Source organism: Homo sapiens, chromosome 6 (genome assembly GCF_000001405.40).
Source record: "Homo sapiens chromosome 6, GRCh38.p14 Primary Assembly".
NCBI lineage: Eukaryota > Metazoa > Chordata > Mammalia > Primates > Hominidae > Homo > Homo sapiens.
Window position 1 is genome coordinate 38,149,769 of NC_000006.12, and position 17,119 is coordinate 38,166,887.

At 54.0% G+C, this 17,119-nt stretch overlaps 1 protein-coding gene across 4 annotated transcripts in view, besides 2 other annotated features; it reads left to right on the forward strand.

Moving 5' to 3' along the window:
• Nucleotides 1–4,856, forward strand: part of ZFAND3 (zinc finger AN1-type containing 3) — a 334,898-nt gene extending 330,042 nt beyond the window's left edge. For all 4 annotated transcript variants that reach the window (NM_021943.3, XM_011514790.3, NM_001410904.1 and 1 more), the window contains one exon: nucleotides 2,467–4,856. In NM_021943.3, coding sequence (NP_068762.1) covers nucleotides 2,467–2,621 — 155 coding nt within the window. In that variant the 3' untranslated portion in view covers nucleotides 2,622–4,856. The remainder of the gene's footprint in view (nucleotides 1–2,466) is intronic.
• Nucleotides 3,269–3,889: an enhancer, noted in NCBI's record as "H3K4me1 hESC enhancer chr6:38120813-38121433 (GRCh37/hg19 assembly coordinates)". NCBI's record gives its function as "activates a minimal SCP1, AML or CMV promoter by ChIP-STARR-seq in primed H9 embryonic stem cells {active_cell/tissue: H9 hESC(primed)}" and the evidence as "EXISTENCE:reporter gene assay evidence [ECO:0000049][PMID:30033119]".
• Nucleotides 11,924–12,892: an enhancer, noted in NCBI's record as "H3K4me1 hESC enhancer chr6:38129468-38130436 (GRCh37/hg19 assembly coordinates)". NCBI's record gives its function as "activates a minimal SCP1, AML or CMV promoter by ChIP-STARR-seq in primed H9 embryonic stem cells {active_cell/tissue: H9 hESC(primed)}" and the evidence as "EXISTENCE:reporter gene assay evidence [ECO:0000049][PMID:30033119]".

Consider the following 17,119-nt stretch of genomic DNA (forward strand, 5'->3'; position numbering starts at 1 on the left):
GCCAGGAGCCAAGTTAATTCCAGCAGTAATCCATTTCCTGCTGCTTTTATTCAGCCAGCACCATTCATCAGAAAGAGAGGAGAGCCCTTGGGACCTTCTGAATCATCCCAATATCTTGAAGAAAGGGAAGGGGCAGCAGGGGTCCACCCACCCCTTATTATAGATGCTGAAAGTACAGAAGTATGTCAGGACTTGGTGACAAAAATGTCTATAGACACATCCTGATGCCATCCTGCTGGTGCCCCTACCCTAAGCCCTGACTGGCAGCAGGTTCTCCCTCACCAGGTAGGCTTTGCTACAAAAAGATGAATTTACTTGTTAGATGGAGGATGCATATTGAGGCCATCCATGCCTCTGCTGCAAAATCCTTTAGGAGAAAGACAACTGGTATCCAATATCTTCGAGTAATGAACTTATCAGTAAATGTAACACATGAGCTCATTAATCTTAACTTTGCTTTTGGACCAAGTGGGAGCTCGGCTTCTCGGGAGACAGAAATTGCATCTCTGTTCTTTTCCTTAAACCCAATCCCAATTTAGAGTCAAACATACTGCCCTGCTCTCCCTGGGAAGCAGTTAATAATGTTTCCTCACACAATGGATGGCCCAAGCTCAGCTGGGTCACTCCAGCCCCCTAGGCTGTGTACATGTCCCTTGCACACAGCCTGGGCTCAAGACTTCCTAGTAGGGTGTGAGTGCCAGCTACATCCTTGAGACTGGTTAGTCCCCAGCCATTGAGTACATCACACACTTTTCTTCCCTCAGGCTGAGGAATATAGGTGAAGTTAATCTTAGAAGTTAAGGCTATTGAATCTTAACCTTAAATCTTAAGGCTGTTGAAACTCTTCATCCTGTGGCCACTTCGTCCTTGCTTGGGCTCTTGCTGTTCTTCTAAAAGCACAGCCTCTACATCTCTGAAAAGAAGTTGAGGATGTGAGGAGGGATGAGTCAGTTTGCAAGGGGTGGCTGCCTGTTCTTTATGGCCTGGATGAGGGCTTAAAAGAAAGAAGTCTGAAAAGAGATGCTGTTGGTTGGAAAACAAGTAAGGAGAGTGTTTGCTTGGGCAGGCTGCTGTGGGATGCCTGCTCCAGACAGGGAGAACAGGTTTAGGAATGGATCTAGATTTACCTGGAAGCTTGCTCCTGTGGACCTGATCCAGGCCCACGGGGCCTGGAGGTGTGGTGAGATAATGCTGATGGGATGAGAAGGTGATGAGGAGCCAGCCAGCACTGGCAGGTGTCTTCCTAGCCCTGATCTTGTTCTCCCCAGCGTTTTGAAAGAGGCGGCCAGCAGACTCTGGGGACCTCAGACGTCTGTGCTCCACATGCGTATCGGCCGCTCTAGAGATTGCCTGGGAAGCTGGAGGGAATGGGAGACACCCCGGTGCAGCTGCGCCCTGAGTTCTCTGAGCCTGGCTCCTGGCTCCCTGCAGCCCTCCCCTCCTTGTTCCTGACCCAGAGTGACTTTACCTGTACCGGCTCCCTGCTCGATAGGCCTCTTGATCTTTCATCACTGGTCTTTTTCTCTTATTTGCCAGACCAGTGTCTCCCTTGGATTTCTCTGCTTCAAAAAGAGCCTTGCAGCATCCTGCGCTTCTGGGAGGGAAAGACAGCTGGAGGCCTGAGTGTGGGCATCTCAACCTCTCTCACCTACCCAGTGGAGTGAAGGACAGCTGGGGGTCCGAGTGTGGGCATCTCAACCTCTCTCACCTACCCAGTGGAGTGAAGGACAGCTGGGGGTCCGAGTGTGGGCATCTCAACCTCTCTCACCTACCCAGTGGAGGGAAGGACAGCTGGGGGCCCGAGTGTGGGCATCTCAACCTCTCTCACCTACCCAGTGCAGTTAGAAGTGTCAGATTCCTTGGAGATGGCGATTGGAGCCCAGCATTGCTGTCTCCTCTGTTTCTATCTAATACTTTTTCTAGCACTAGAAATAATCCACTTTCCTTTGAGAGCTCCCACTCATTTTTGGGTTGTGGTTTGATCACTCCCACCATCCTCTCAAGCCCCGGCTGTACAGGAGGTGGAATGTCATTTAAGACATAATCATTTCTCCTGCCTCCTAGAAATGGTGGGCATCCTGTGGTGGAAATCACAGTTTGCCCGAGCCAAGCAGAGAGCTGAGCTGACAGCCTGTGCTCTTCCGCCTGCATGGTGCTGGAGAGGAGCGCAGAGCCCACTCATTTGCAAGGACAGGGCTGTGTCTCGCAGCCATCAACTTAGGGTTCTACCCTTCAAGGGTCCAGGCAGGGACAGGCTTGAGCAGCTGTGGAATGCAAAGTGCTGACCCTCTTGCTCCAGGGTGCAGGTGTTGGAGTGAGCTCTCTGCTGCATCAGGAACCCCTGCAGTGAGTGTTGTCCACTCACTGGGATGCCCCTCCATCCTCTGGACAAAGGCAATTGTGAGGCTCTGCGCACTTGGAGGCCACCCTAACACACTCTTTCCTCTGCTTCTCCCGCTGCTGCAGGTTATGTGTTCTGTATGTTACATCGCCTCCCCGAGCAGCACGACTGCACATTCGACCACATGGGCCGTGGCCGGGAGGAAGCCATCATGAAAATGGTGAAGCTGGACCGGAAAGTGGGGCGCTCCTGCCAGCGCATCGGGGAGGGGTGCTCCTGAAGGCCAGGCATGGCCACCACGTGACGCTGTTCTTAGTTCACTAATGTTAGCCTTATTTAGGACAAAGTCAGCCAGACACCTTGTACTGGGCACGCGTCAGACTGCAGCCAGTCCGTTTCCTTTCTTTAGCCAGCCATCCTGGTACTGTAGTTTAGGGGTTGATGGTGGTTGAAATTGATTTCTGGCTGGTTACTAAGGTGCCTGCTAGCCATTGTATAAAATTAAAACATGAAGAATATTTTTTTTTTGAGCATGGCTAGTGGATTTAAAACAACACATACCTGTCACTGCTGGAGTCAAACTTATAAAAAGCCTTAAGTGGAAAGTGTTCCAGACGGAGACTCTGAGTTAATAGAGGAGTAGAAGCTGGTGTTAAAGTTCCCACGACGCACATGGCTTTGCCAGAAACTCTGTTTAATGATCGGCCTTTCACCTCTTCACTTATCCTTAGTCCCAGTAGCCAGGATACCTGATGGCCACGTGTGCCTTGGCCACGGGAGGCTGCTGAGATTGGCCACGTGGCTGGGCTGGGTGGTGGCCTCACTCTCCCACAGAGCTGGAAATGGGGGGTGGGGGACAGATTCTTACGGAAATTTTTTTACCTGACTTGCTATGAAAAAACTCATCACACAAGAAGAGAAACAGTAACCTCACTTTGAAAATTAGCTCCACTCAAGACTAGTCCACGAACGAGACCCGCCTTTTCTACACAGGATCCAAGGTCACGAGAAGCAGCCAGAGTGCCCCGCCTCCGCCGGCTCTGGTCTGCCATTCGCCAGTGCAGGGATCTGGCACGGACCAGATGTGGCGAATGGCAGCACAGCGCGGTGGCTGGGTCTGCACACTGGCCTCTGCAGCCAGATTTCTATATTGGGAGTTTTTTAAAAAGACATTTCATAGCCAACAAGAATCAGTAGAAGTGCTGGGAGCAGCAGCTGGGGAAGCTGCCGCCCACGGGCTCTGCCCCTTCCAGCTGGAGCCGCCCGTGCCTCCAGGGGCCAAGAGGATGATGTCGTGGCCTCCATTCTCGTTTCTATGCAGCCCCATAGTCCAAGGACACCCAGTCCACATCTACCATATAGCAAGTTTAGTAAGGGAAGGCAGCATACGTCCCAGGGACAGTGGGTTTGGATCTGTCTAGAACAGCGGTTTGTGGCTGTGGCCCAGCTCCGAGAGTGATATTTGCTCTGGTAGGTGAGGGCCTGAGGGTACATTTCTCCACCTGTGCCCCCTCATGTTCACAGAGGATTTCAGCAGCTGCAACTGCGCACGCCAGGTGGGGAAGGGTGGGGGTGGGCCTGGTTGCCCCATGTTAGGAAATCACTACCAGTCAGGTGGGGCTGGGGCTGGGTGGACAGGATCAGGATTCCCTTGAAAGCCCAGGCAGGGTGAGCAGTCCCAGTGGTCCTAGTGCCGCATCAGATCCAGGTGGGTGAGGGCAGGAGGCCCCTGCGGAGGCAGCGTGGATCTGCCCACACATAGGCTACTGGAATAGTTTAACCCAGCAACTTTCCTTTTTATAAAACAACAAATGGTTCAACTCTGTCTGCAAATTAACAGCTGAACACCTGCAACTGCAAATGTTTTTTGATCCGACGTACTGAAATAGGAAGTCATGCTCTTCCCACCCTCCACCCACCAGAGTGGAACCCGCTGCAAAATCCCCAGCCTTAATTCTTGCTTCAGGACCCAGACCGGTGTCTTGCTCTAGGGCAACCCAGGGCAGAGGGGCCAGGTCTGCCCAGCGTTTACCACTGCTGTCAAGCCACAGCCCTTGGCCACCATACGGGCCATCCTCAGTGAGGCAGCCCCCCATAGGCTTCCGCCAAGCTCTGGTCCCGAAGAGGCTGTGCGAGCCCTTCCCGGCCCTCCCCAGGGCCCCCCGCCCCCTCCTCTGCCTGCTGCGTGGAGGCAGCCATGGGAAGGAGCCCAGGGGAGCTGGCCTGGGGGAGCGAAGCCCATGTTCGCTTCCTGACTTAGAGCTGGGGGGGGTGGGGGGTGGGGCTTGTTCCCCTGCAGTATCTGTTCTGTGAAGTTTGTTAAATGTAAGGAAAGCTTAAATTCTTGTATCTTTAAAAGAGAAAATCTTATTTAACCCTTTTGTGTTCTAGATTTACTTACACACATAGCCTAGAGCTCAGTTTTAGTTTTAACATTGTGAAAATATTAAAAGAATCTTGTAACTTTATTCTTTTTTCTCCTGCTGAAAAAAAAAATTAAACCAATCGTATGAAAGTTTGGTTTTCTTGTTTCACCCCTTCTCCTAAGTGCCCCCTGGGTTGCTGGGAAAACTGACCCATCTCCCTGGCCAGGGCTGGAAAGAGATGGGGGCCTGTGTGCAGAGACCGTCTGCAGTACTTGGAGGCACTCGTCCAGTTAGTGTCCAGGCTAAACAGCCGCTTCCTTGCTTTCTGTTGGGAGCCTCTGCCCTGGGAAGCTGCGGGACTGGCCTTGGGGTAAAGGTGGGTCTGCAGGGCCAAGCCTGTGCCAGCAGCCAGGAGGTTACACACTGGGGGGGATCAGAAAACGAGCCCCAGCCCTGAGGGCCCCAGGCGTGGGTGGGGTGGGTGCTGGGTCCTGAGGGAAGGCAGCATGCCCTAGACCCGAACCCCACCCTAGGAAGGGCCTCCAGGATGGATGACGAAGGCTCCCAAAGGCTGGCTTGGAGGAGGTGTGTGCTGTGGCACTCTTTGGTGTATAGGATGAACTTAACTACATTTTTAAATGTTCAAAAAACATTTGGCAGGGCAGGGGCGAGGCACAGGAGTGGGACCTGTCCCCACTTCTTTTAGGACAGAGATATTGACCGCATAGTTGTCATGAGCGTGATGAAAATCCTCAGAGGAAATCAGAGGCCCAGTGGCGATGAACAAGCACGGGGGCAAAGGGCAAGAGAGGGCCTTGGTGGCCTGGGTGTGAGGCGGGCCTGCAGGGAGCAGTGGGCTGTGCTCTGCCCACTGGTCCACAGGAACTGGGTCTGCGTCAGCTCCTTCCTGATTGCTTCACAGAGCAACAGTCCACAGCAACAACATAACTGTTGTTATGCCAACAACAGTCCACAGCAAGAAGAGGGGATGGTGGGAAGACAAGCAGAAACCTTCCTGCTGGGTGGCGTGAGAAACAGGAAACCATGGGTGGGAGTGGGCCGTGGTCTTCAAGGGAGCCATCAGCAGCACATTCAGGGAGCTGTGAGCAGCCCCTCTAGCCCCAAGAAGGGGGTCTCCAAGAGAGAGGGCCCCAGATGGGCACAACAGTAACACAGATACCCAAGAGAAGTCTGCAGGAGTCTCAAAACCTGATTTCCTCAGCAGCCATTCTCGCAACTACATGGGGGAAGGCTGCAGTGAGGGAGGAGTGATCGGAGAAAGACATGGAGACTTGGGACCTGGGGCGGGCTCTGGGGGAACTCAGCACACAGCTCGAGGCCTGCGAGGTGGCCCCATATCTTGTCAGCACTGGGTCCTGTCAGAGGGCTTGGAGAAGGTCTAAGAATCAGAGACAGATACAGACAATTAAGCAAGTAATAACAGTGTATTAATGCCTAAGCAGAAATACACAGGAAGAGGAGCTGCAGACCCTGTGTGACTCAGCTGTGAATAATATTTACGTACAAATAATGTAAACACAAATACTAGTGAATATTGCTCTGGTAAAAATATATGCTGGATCTCAGTAGGAGACTGGGAGAGGGAAAGAATGTGCCTGTGTATTGGTGGCAGAGGATAAGAGAGCCAAGTTCTTGTTCTTAGCAGGAAATCAACAAAGGATGTCCAAAGCTGAAAACTTGAGAGTAGTATGTTATTTAGAAATATGGAGGTAAAAGAGGAGGAAAAAGCTTAGAAGTTAAAATTGGTTTTCTTTGGGGTAGGAGATAGGAATGCAGTAGGCCTTATATTTACGACTACAGTTAAACATATAACATTGATTGAAAAATTGAAATGCTTTAATAAGGGAATGATGGAAGCCCTTCCTGGGAACTGAGGGGCCAAGTCCTCAGAAACCTGCCTTACTGTTCTCTGAAAGTGGGTTTCAGGGAGTTCAGGTCTCTGAGATGCAACATAGAGTGTTGGTTTTGATCAGAGCTGCTTTGGAAGATGCAGGCAGCTGGCACATCACAACACAGCACATGTTTAAAACCCTGAAGGCTGAGGGCGGTGGCTTGAGCTTATAATGCCAGCACTTTGGGAGGCCAAGGTGGGAAGATCCCTTGAGTCCAGGAGTTCGAGACCAGGCAACATGGTGAGACCTCATCTCTACGAAAAAATATTTTTTTTTTCTTTTCAAACCCTGCATGTGGCATGTGATGCAAAAAAAAAAAAAAAAATTTAATTGCTGCGGGGAGCGGGTGGTGGTACACGCCTGATAGTCCCAGCTACTCAGGAGGTGGAGGCGGGAGGATCACTTGAGCCCAGAGTTGGAGGCTGCAGTGAGCTAGGATTGCACCACTGCACTCCAGCATGGGCAACAGCCTGAGAGCCCATATCTAAACATATATATGTATTTTTTTTTTTAATTTAAAAACCCTGGGAAAGGTGGCTGTGGCAACACCAAGCTTATTTGTTACCAAAAAAACTTTTCTTAATCAGCACACCTTGGGAAAAGTTGCCCTGGTTCATTGAGCACCTACTGTGCGCCAAACACCTGAAAAACTCTCCCTTGATCCTGTGTGATTCCACTTGGAGGTACCTAGAGTAGTCAAATTCACTCCCTTCAGGTCAGCCTGGAAGTTCCTATCTCCGGGCTTCTGTGGTATGCCATCCAGCAACCCAGATGTTTGGCTGGGCAGACAGATGGAATGTCACCTTTCCTTTGGCTTAAATGCTGTGCCCAAATTCACACAGAAACACAGAAGGGTGTTTCCTGCCCGTCACTGGAGAGCCTGGGATGGAAAAAGTGCCTGGAGCAGGAAGATGGCAACACCGAGTGCGTGCTGGGCCCAGGCCTGGCCCTCCCGCTGCACACCCTCTGGAGCGTCCCACAGGGTTAGGTGATTGAATTGTTGGCAGATGAGAGCACCCCAGACCCGGGACCTAATAAAAGGCCTTTTGAGTTTTCGACCTGGAAGGACCCCACACCTCAGGCTCCCCTCCTGGCCACCTCTTCCAGGCAGCTCTATCAATCCTAGCAGTGAGGAGTGCAGTTGAAGGGGCCTGGGGCACACATCACAGGGTTCGATGGGAGAACTTGCTGACAGGGAGCTGGAGTGTCTCTGGAGTCCTCAGGCCCACATCCACCAAACACCAGGAGGAGCTGAAGAGGAGGGACTCCCAGACTAGGAGGAGAGGGATCTGCTGTGTATGACAAGGTGCCCAAGTTCGGGGTGGGGGTGGGGACCAAGACATAGACCCCAGAGGTAAAGCTCTGGGTCTGCACCGTGGCAGCCCCATTAGGGGCATCTTCCAGCCCACAGCCCTGGCTAGGGTGACCTTCATTCAACACCTGCTATATGCCAGGCAGCATCCCAGACACTGGGGATATGATGGTGACCCAAACTACAGCTATAGGGAACAAAATAAGGGCAGTGCAAAGAATATTAGAGGGGTGACAGGCATACACGATACGCAGGGGGAAGGGAGCAGGGGGAGAAGCATAGGGTCTGAGGGTCTTTGTCTGCGATGGGCATGGAGGGCCCTGCCTGCCGCTTGGGGGTTCGGTCAGGCTGCCACTGTGCGAGGAACAGCCTGCAGGGAGTGAGGGAGGTACACAGACCAGAGGACCGGCTGGCTGGTCCGGGAGGCCAGCAGGAAGGCTCAGTGCTCCAAGGTGGCAGGGAGGTGGTGAGAAGAGCAAGATCCTGGACTGATTTTTGAGGATGGAGATAGCAGGAGTCGCCGATAGGCTGGGTGTGGGTGAGAGAAGAGAGGAACTATAGACAATTTCTAGTTTGGAGTGTGAGCCGCTGGAAAGATAGAGATGCCGTTAATGAACGACAGGCAGGAGCGTGAAGGGGGTGGGATGAGAGCAGACGGCTGAGGTGTAGACGAGACACCCAGCTAGAATGTGTGTGTGTGTGTGTGTGTGTGTGTGTGTGTGGCGGGGCTGGGGGGTTGGGGAGGTGGTGCCTGGATACACAGTTCCAGGGCTCAGTGGAGAGGTCCTGGCTGGAGATGGGCATTTTTCCCCAATAATTTTTATGGTAGTAAAATATGCAGAACACGCAGTTTCCCTTCTGAACCATCTTTAAGTGTACAGTTTAGTATTATTCAATCTATTCATAATGTGGTGCAACCATTGCCACCGTCCATCTCCAGAACTGGAAGTGGAATCATACAGTACTCGTCTGTTTGTGTCTGGCCGATTTCACCCAGCACGATGTCCTCCGGGCTCATCCACATGGTAGATATGTCTGTGTCCTTCTTAAGGTGGATGCTACTGCACCGTATGATGAAACACACGTGCTTGCCCACCCCTTTGTCAGTGGGCACTGGGGTTGCTTCCATGTTGTAGTTACTGTGAATGAGGCTGCTGTGGATGTCGGTGTACAAATGAGATACACAGTTTCGAGTCACCTGCATAGAGCTAGTATTTAAAGCCACAAGCTGGGCCAAGGACACCAAAGAAGGGAGTGTAAATGTAGAAGAGACGGATGGAGGCTGTGCCTGGGGATGCCATCCAGAGGGACGGAGGAACCTGCAGAGGAGACCTAGAAGAAGCTGCCAGCAAAGCAGGAAGAGACAGAAAGATGGGAGTCCCAGAAGCCAGGCGGGGAAAGGAGCATTTCGAGGAGCAGGGAGTGGCCACTTCTGTGAGCTGCTGCCCAGGCACCAACCGTCCCGGCGCTGGGGACCAATTCCTGGGGAGGGAGACTGGAAAGGTTGCCCAGCTGGACCTCTTCTTCAAGCAGTTTTGCTACAATGGAAGCAAATGGGCAGGAGAGTGGATGTGGGGGCGAGGGAGTTTACTTTTGAATAAGGAGAAGTTGCTGCATGTTTTTATGCTGTTGGAATGATCCCGTAGCGAGGGAGAAATTTGGGATCGATGCCCATGATGGGGTGTAGAGCGCAGGGTGGCAGGTGTGGGCACAGGGCAGGCAAGCGGGGGTGGTATCCTTCTGCTCTGTGTTCTCACGGACATATGGAACAGGGTCGTGAGGAGTGAGTGAGGTTGGGTGAGGGGGTAGCAACAGTTTGGTGGGGCACTGGCATGGATTTACCGGGAGACAAAGCCTTAGCTTGAGGCCCCTCACTCGTGATTGGGCCTCGGCAATGTGTTTGCATGTTCCCAAGATTTTATAAAATTTGCAAAAGTGAGATACTTTAACTGCAGTTGGTTAAAACCATTCCCTCCTTCCATTCTAACTTCCCTTCCTTCACACTTCCTGTTCTGTTGGGTGATGTTGAGGCCACATGGTACTTTTGGGTTCTGGCTAAGGGTAAGCAGAGTTAGGGACACGATTCGTTTGAGGTTAGTGGGATATATTTGTGCGTTCACAGTCACTTCTGCATTTAGTAGGTCATTGCCAGTCATCCTGGGGTAGGGCTGGCTTCAAGAACATGCTTCTTGTCCATTGCCTGACACCTGGTGTCGTAACCAGAAGGAGCAAGGCCACGGTTGTACTGTGATAGGAACGTGTCCTACGGGACCTGGAACAGGGAGTACCGGTTGTGGAGGAGAGATGAGGCTTGATATATGTGGAGCCGGAAGTCTGTGGAAAATTCTTCCCACCAGCAGGTGTGTGAATATAAACCAGGAAGACTTGATTCTCATCAATACCTGCTCGATACAGACATTCGCTCTTAGGAACACGCTCGACAGTGCCGCACAATCAGAAGCGCACCACACTCCTGTCAGAGCATTAAAGATGAGTTTAGGAATGCTGGGGGTGTTCTAGAATCTTACAGCTCAGATATGAAAGAAACTTGGTAACAGTTGCCCCACATTTGATGACAGTTCTAAAAATTTACATGACTATGCCAATAAGAGTTGTGAAGATGACAGAAACTTTTCTAAAGTATCAATAATTCAAAACAGAGATCGACCATGCTCAAGGAAAGATTGAGGAATCTTTCTATTCCTACATGATATTACAAGATCATTATCATGGGAAAGGGTGATGAAAGAGGACACAGCCAAGCAAAGTAGGAACAAAATGTGACAGATGTGTCACCACCAGTGAGGGTGAACTGCAGACATCTGGGTGTTTGTTGACTTTAAAACGTGTAATTTGTTGGGAATTCTTTTCCCATGTTGTACCTAATTTGGGAGTCAGAATTTTTACTCTTTTTCTTAAAGGGGGGCTCCCAAACTGTATAAACTTCCGGCCCTGCGTAACCTGGGGGAGGCTCAGAGTACCTGGGGTCTTCCGCTGTGTCCCAGGACCCTGAGAGGCAGCGCAGTTGGGTCAGCTGACAAGACTGTCCTGACGAAGGGGCAGCATGCTGATGTCTCTTCTGGTATAAGCTCCTTGTCTTGTGACGAGATGACACGTTGAGTGGCACTGGTCAGAGAGCGAATGAGAAATGTTGTGGAGATGTCGTGATTGTTAAACATGTTCTTTCCCTCAATTCTGGCGCTCCTCCCGTGGAAAAGCGGAGCCTCTCCCCTTGGACACGGGCAGGAGCGCGTGTGGTGGAGGTGACCTTCCCGTCCATGAGGCCACATCTGAAAGTCGCGTGAGAAGACCCATCTGGCGCTCTCAGGCGACATGAGCCTTAACACGGGCTGGCGCGCAAGAAGTCTGGCTATTCACATCAGAAGGCTGGCGATAATCGAAGAGTGGAAAGTGCCAGCGAGGATGTGGAGAGGCTGGAACGCTTGCGTGTCGCTGGCGGGAATGTGAAACGGCACAGCCGCTGTGGTAGACCCTCTGCTGGCTTGTCAAAAACTCCAAAAGGAATCACCACGTGACCCAGCAATGCCACTGCTAGGCATACACGAGAGAGAGCTGAAAGCTGGGACTCACACAAGTCCTCCCATGTTCCAGGCAGCCCTGTTCATGACAACCCAAAGTAGAAACAACCCAAGTGTCCGTCAGGGGGCCGAAGGATACACAAAGCCTGATGCAGCCCCGCAGTTCAGCCATAAACGAAGGAAAGTGCTGACCCGAGCGGCAGCCCAGGTGAACCTCGGAAACATTCTGCAAAGTGAAAGGAGCCAGCCACGAAGGTGAACGTGTGGTTCCGTGTACATGCAACAGCAGGGTGGGGAGCGCGGCAGAGACAGACAGCAGGTGGGCTGGCACCAGGAGCTGGGGGAGGAGAGGATAAGAGCAACTGCCCAATGGGTGTGGGGATCCCTTCTGGGAAGTGGTGGTTGCACAACACCATGATGTGCCGAATGCCACCGAATTGTTCATTTTAAATGGTGAATTTTACGTTCTGTGAATTTCACCTCAATTAAAGAAAAAAAATATTGCTCCTTTGAAGCCTCCATGCTGAAGAGACCATGTGGCAAGACCAGACGGAGACAGTGGTGCCCAGGTGCCCAGCTGTGCACCAGCAGCACCCATGGCCAGTGAGCAAGGCTTCAGATGGCCCACCCCAACCTTTGGGCTGACCTGGTGGTGCCAAGCGGAGCAGATAGGAGCCGTCCCTGCCAAGCCCTGGCCAAACTACAGGTTCCCCAGCAAAACAAACGTTTAGGCCACCAAGTCCTGCAGGGATGGTTCTGCGATGTCAGAGGGCTTGCAGGGAGCTGTCGGCCCCACAGCAGTCATGGGTTGAGAGTGGGCTCAGTCAGCCAGGTTCCAGAGGGTGTTGCTGGGCCCCCCAGGTGGCTGTGCCAGGTGAGGATGGGACTAGAGAGCTGTGTGGGGACCAGATAGGGGAGAGGGCCCTCCTGGGGGGCCTGTCATGAGCAGGGACAAAGGGTGTGACATCAGCAGTCCTGGTAGACTCAAGGCAGGAAGTGCGGGTAGGGCAGTGGACGGCAGGAGGAGGGAGAGTTCTGGCACCTTCCATGAGGCACTCAAAGGAAGACCTGCCCCTTCCAGGCCCCGCGGTTCCTCCTCCACTTGGTCAGCTCTGGCAGCAGGGAAGGGAGCCCCGGGCCTGGAGTCAGGATGCGGTTCTGGGCCAGATCAGCCTCTCCTAGGCTGGGAGAGCTCTAACGGGGCCCCGGCCTCTCGTTCCCTAGCTGGAGAATGTGGAAGGTTCCACAATCTCAGACCCTTGCCTGGTGGCTCTCAGCCATGACTGCCTTTAGAATCACCCGCGGAGTTTTTAAAGATTTCCGTGTCTGAATCCGCCCAAGACCAAAACCAAGTCAGTCTCTGGGGTGGCCGGTCAGGGGTGGTTCCTCACAAAGCTCTGCAGGCAATTCCAGGGTGCAGCCAGATCAAAGCCACCACCCTAATGCAGCCTTGCTGCTGCCCTGCCGCGCGAAGGCACGAAAGCCTGAATCTGGAACCTGCGACACCCTCATTCTCCAACTGGAGCGCCCCAGTGTGCAGACGGAGCGAGTCCTGGGTGGATTTTCTCAGAAATGGCTTCCCATTTTTTTTCCCCTTAAACTTGCAAGGCCCATGGAAGCTGGGCAATAGTGTGTGATGGAGGACATCGGACTTGGCCCCACATGATGTCATTGTCTTCCGTGGGTGCTAGGTGCTTTTCATAGGCCCCTGGGCACCTCCACCTCCAAGCAGGGCCCTGGGGCACACCTCCCTCCAGGCAGGGCCCTGGGGCACACCTCCCTCCAGGCAGGGCCCTGGGGCACACCTCTGGCCTCCAGCAGCTCTGAGGGGAAGCTCGGGTTTGCCAGGAGCAGCAGCCACTTTCTTGCATCCTTGTCTCTTAGTGATCTGCTGCCCCAAGAGGGCTGTGGTGACAGGTGGGCATCAGGGCATCACCGGGAATGGCACAAATACAGCAGACGTCTTACCACGTCCGTGCCTCGCTCCCACTGGCCCAGTGGTCAGGAGTGGCCAGGCTGCCACTTCCCTCTTGCGTTTCTGTCCCCCTCAACCCCTGCAGGCTCCTGAGCTGCCCCTGCCCACTTCAGGGCATCTGAGCAGTGTCCTTGGCCCTCGGTCACATCTGCAGTGTCGTCAATCGGGGTGGGCGCTTGTGGTCCCATGGAAGGGCCTCCCGGCTCGGGCCTGTTGCCCTGTACCCAGCGCTGCTGCCCCTCAGACTTCCCTCGTATCTCCCCAACAGCTTCTGGAGGCCAGCAGGGTGCCCCAGGGCCCTGCCCACTCCCAAAGGACCAGGCCCCTAGAGGTGGAGGTGTTGGGGGGAAGGTGGCTCCAAATACTCTGAGGAGCCCACATTTCCAAAAGGGACCCAAAAAAGACAGGAGACACAGCCGGGAGGAGTGCGCAGGAGTGGAGTGGACGGAGGTGCCTGACAGTGAAATGCAGTGTTAGGACTATGTTGTAATAAAAATGCAGGCAGAAAGGGCCACTGGTGTAGACCCAGAGAATGTTAACATCATCACAACGGCTGGCGTCTCTCTCGCTCGCTCTCTTACACACACACACACACACTCACCACCTCCCCCAACCCCTGCCCCAGGCTCATTTAACCCTCACAGTCCCAAAAGGTGCTACTGTTAGCTCCACTGGACAGATGAGAAAACCAAGGCTGCTGAGCAGGTGCGGGGAAGGAAGGAAGCCCCATGGCGTTCTTTGCCTTGGAGCAGATAGGGCCTGCCCTGGCGGAGGCGCGGCCACTCTGAATTGCTCGTGGGTCCAAGGACTGGGTTCAACATGGAAACGTCCAGTCCAGCCTGCCCGGGGCTTTGGGTCATCCTGTTTCTTGGCTTCCGCCATTTCCTGAGCTGCTGGCACCTTCTTGTTTTCCATTCTGGTTTTGTTTTTTTGTTGTTGTTGTTGTTTTTAAACGATTGGTCTTTTTGGTCATTGCTTATGATGGGGTGAAGGGGTGTAACGTGCTTATCTTACCTTTTGCACACATTCCATTTTAGTCAAGACTGTCAACTTGCCCTCCAAACTGGCAGTCTGCCACCTGGAATTCAAAGTCCAAGATCTTTAAAATTAAACTAGGTGAAACAAGTAGAATGTTCTGGAATTTTTGAGGTCTCAGCTAGGTGAGGAGACAATGAAATGTGGAGCCACTTCAGAAGAGTCTGTCCTTCCACGTCCTGGGCCAGTGAATCCTGGTATGGAATACGCAGGGTGGCTACGGGGCGCTGGTGGGAAATCCCGTCAATGGAAGAAATGCTAAGACTCTAGAGGTGGGCAAAGGGTGTCTTTAGAGTCTGTCGTCAGTCCCCACCAAAATGAAAGACCATCAGAAAAGGAAAATGGGGTCCCAGACCCCACACAGGAGCTTATAATGAGCCTCAGGGACTGTCCCAAACTCCAAAAACTACGTGAGCACCTACCAGAGCCCGATGCTGCCCGTGGGCCTGGCCGGCCCTCAGCCTCCTCTTGCTTGAGCCCGCCCTGCCTTGGGCTGCATTGCCAGCTGTGGGGACAGCCTCGGAGCCCTCAGCCTCCCTCACTGTCCCCTTTTGCCTCCGTAGGCTCCAGCTGCTTGGCTACCCAGGGCTCAACGTGGGACCAGCCCCTCTGCCTGGTCCCCTCCTCTAGGCTCTTGGTTCTAAACACCGGAGATGCCAGTGACCCCAACCCCTCCCTCTAGCTGGGACCTCACCCGTCCCCGGGCTCAGGGTCCTCGCCGCTGACTGCACATCTAGTCCAGCTGTCCTCTGAAGCGCTGGGTGGGTTGTCAGAATCAGAACCAAGGAGAGCACTTAAGAATGCCAACCCCTGGGTCCACAGCAGCCCCCCAATCAGAGCCTGTAGGGGCGGGTGGTGTAGACATGTCACTTGGTCAAGTTCCCAGGTGATTCTTACCCACCACACAGTTTGAGAACTGTTCTAGTAGTCATCGAGCAAAACAGAAACACATTACAACCTGAGCCAAACCAAAATTATCAGGTCATCCTCACTCGTTCTGGAGCTCAAATAATAAAATCTTAATGATTTCCTACAAACTGGGACTCCCAGTGTTTTTGGTTTTTTGTTTTGTTTTGTTTTGTTTTGAGACGGAGTCTCACTCTGTCGCTAGGCGGGAGTGCAGTGGCGTGCTCTCGGCTCACTGCAACCTCCGACTCCCTGGTTCAAGGGATTTTCCTGCCTCAGACTCCGTAGTAGCTGGGATTTACAGGCACGCACCACCACGCCCAGCTAAATTTTTGTAATTTTAGTAGAGACGGGGTTTCACCATGTTGGCCAGGATGGTCTCGATCTCCTGACTTCGTGATCCGCCCGCCTCGGCCTCCCAAAGTGCTGGGATTACAGGCCTGAGCCACCGCACCCGGCCCCACTCCTGGTGTTAAAACGGTTTTACTCTGCTGACGTCTGAAGACAAGGCATGATCCTCTGGCTTGGGATAATGTGAGGAAGTTGCTGTTTTTCCATCACAGACTAGTGTGAACTTTAATTTGTGTCATTTTCTTTACTTGTTGGGGTTTGTGTTTGCGGTTTCTAAGTCTGGCTCCCTGACCTCCTCTCTCTCTGGTAAACCCAGCATGTCCAAAACTGACCACCTCCAAGCGGCTCCTCCGCAGCCTTGCAAGTCCGGAAACGGCAATCCCATCTGGGGGTCAGCCTTGCCTCTGCTTCTTCTCTCAGGCCGTGCGTGCAGCAATCCTGCGGGGGGGCCCCCCGGGATAGCAGAGCCCTCCACCTCCCCCCTCTGCACAGCAGAGCCCTCCACCTCCCCCTCTACCCGCACAGCAGAGCCCTCCACCTCCCCCCACCCGCACAGCAGAGCCCTCCACCTCCCCCCACCCGCACAGCAGAGCCCTCCACCTCCCCCCACCCGCACAGCAGAGCCCTCCACCTCCCCCAGCACAGCAGAACCCTCCACCTCCCCCACGCACAGCAGAGCCCTCCACCTCCCCCACGCACAGCAGAGCCCTCCACCTCCCCCACGTACAGCAGAACCCTCCACCTCCCCCCTGCGCACAGCAGAGCCCTCCACCTCCCCCACCACCGGCACAGCAGAGCCCTCCACCTCCCCCACCACCGGCACAGCAGAGCCCTCCACCTCCCCCCTCCGCACAGCAGAGCCCTCCACCTCCCCCTCTACCCACACAGCAGAGACCTCCACCTCCCCCCACCCGCACAGCAGAGCCCTCCACCTCCCCCCACCCGCACAGCAGAGCCCTCCACCTCCCCCACGCACAGCAGAGCCCTCCACCTCCCCCACGTACAGCAGAACCCTCCACCTCGCCGCTGCGCACAGCAGAGCCCTCCACCTTCCCCCTCCGCACAGCAGAGCCCTCCACCTCCCCCACCACCGGCACAGCAGAGCCCTCCACCTCCCCGCCGCCCTCACAGCAGAGCCCTCCACCTCCCCCGCACTCCCATAGCAGAGCCCTCCACCCAGCACAGCCTCCACCTCCCCGTGCACAGCAGAGCCCTCCACCTCCCCTCTCCGCACAGAAGAGCCTCCACCTCCCCGTGCACAGCAAAGCCCTCCACCGCCCCTGCTCACCCCCCACCGTCGCCATCCTCAATCCTTCCCAGCCCCATCGGCCCCCAGTGCACTCTCCAGGCAGCGGCCTGGTGAGCCTGTCCCAGTGTGAAA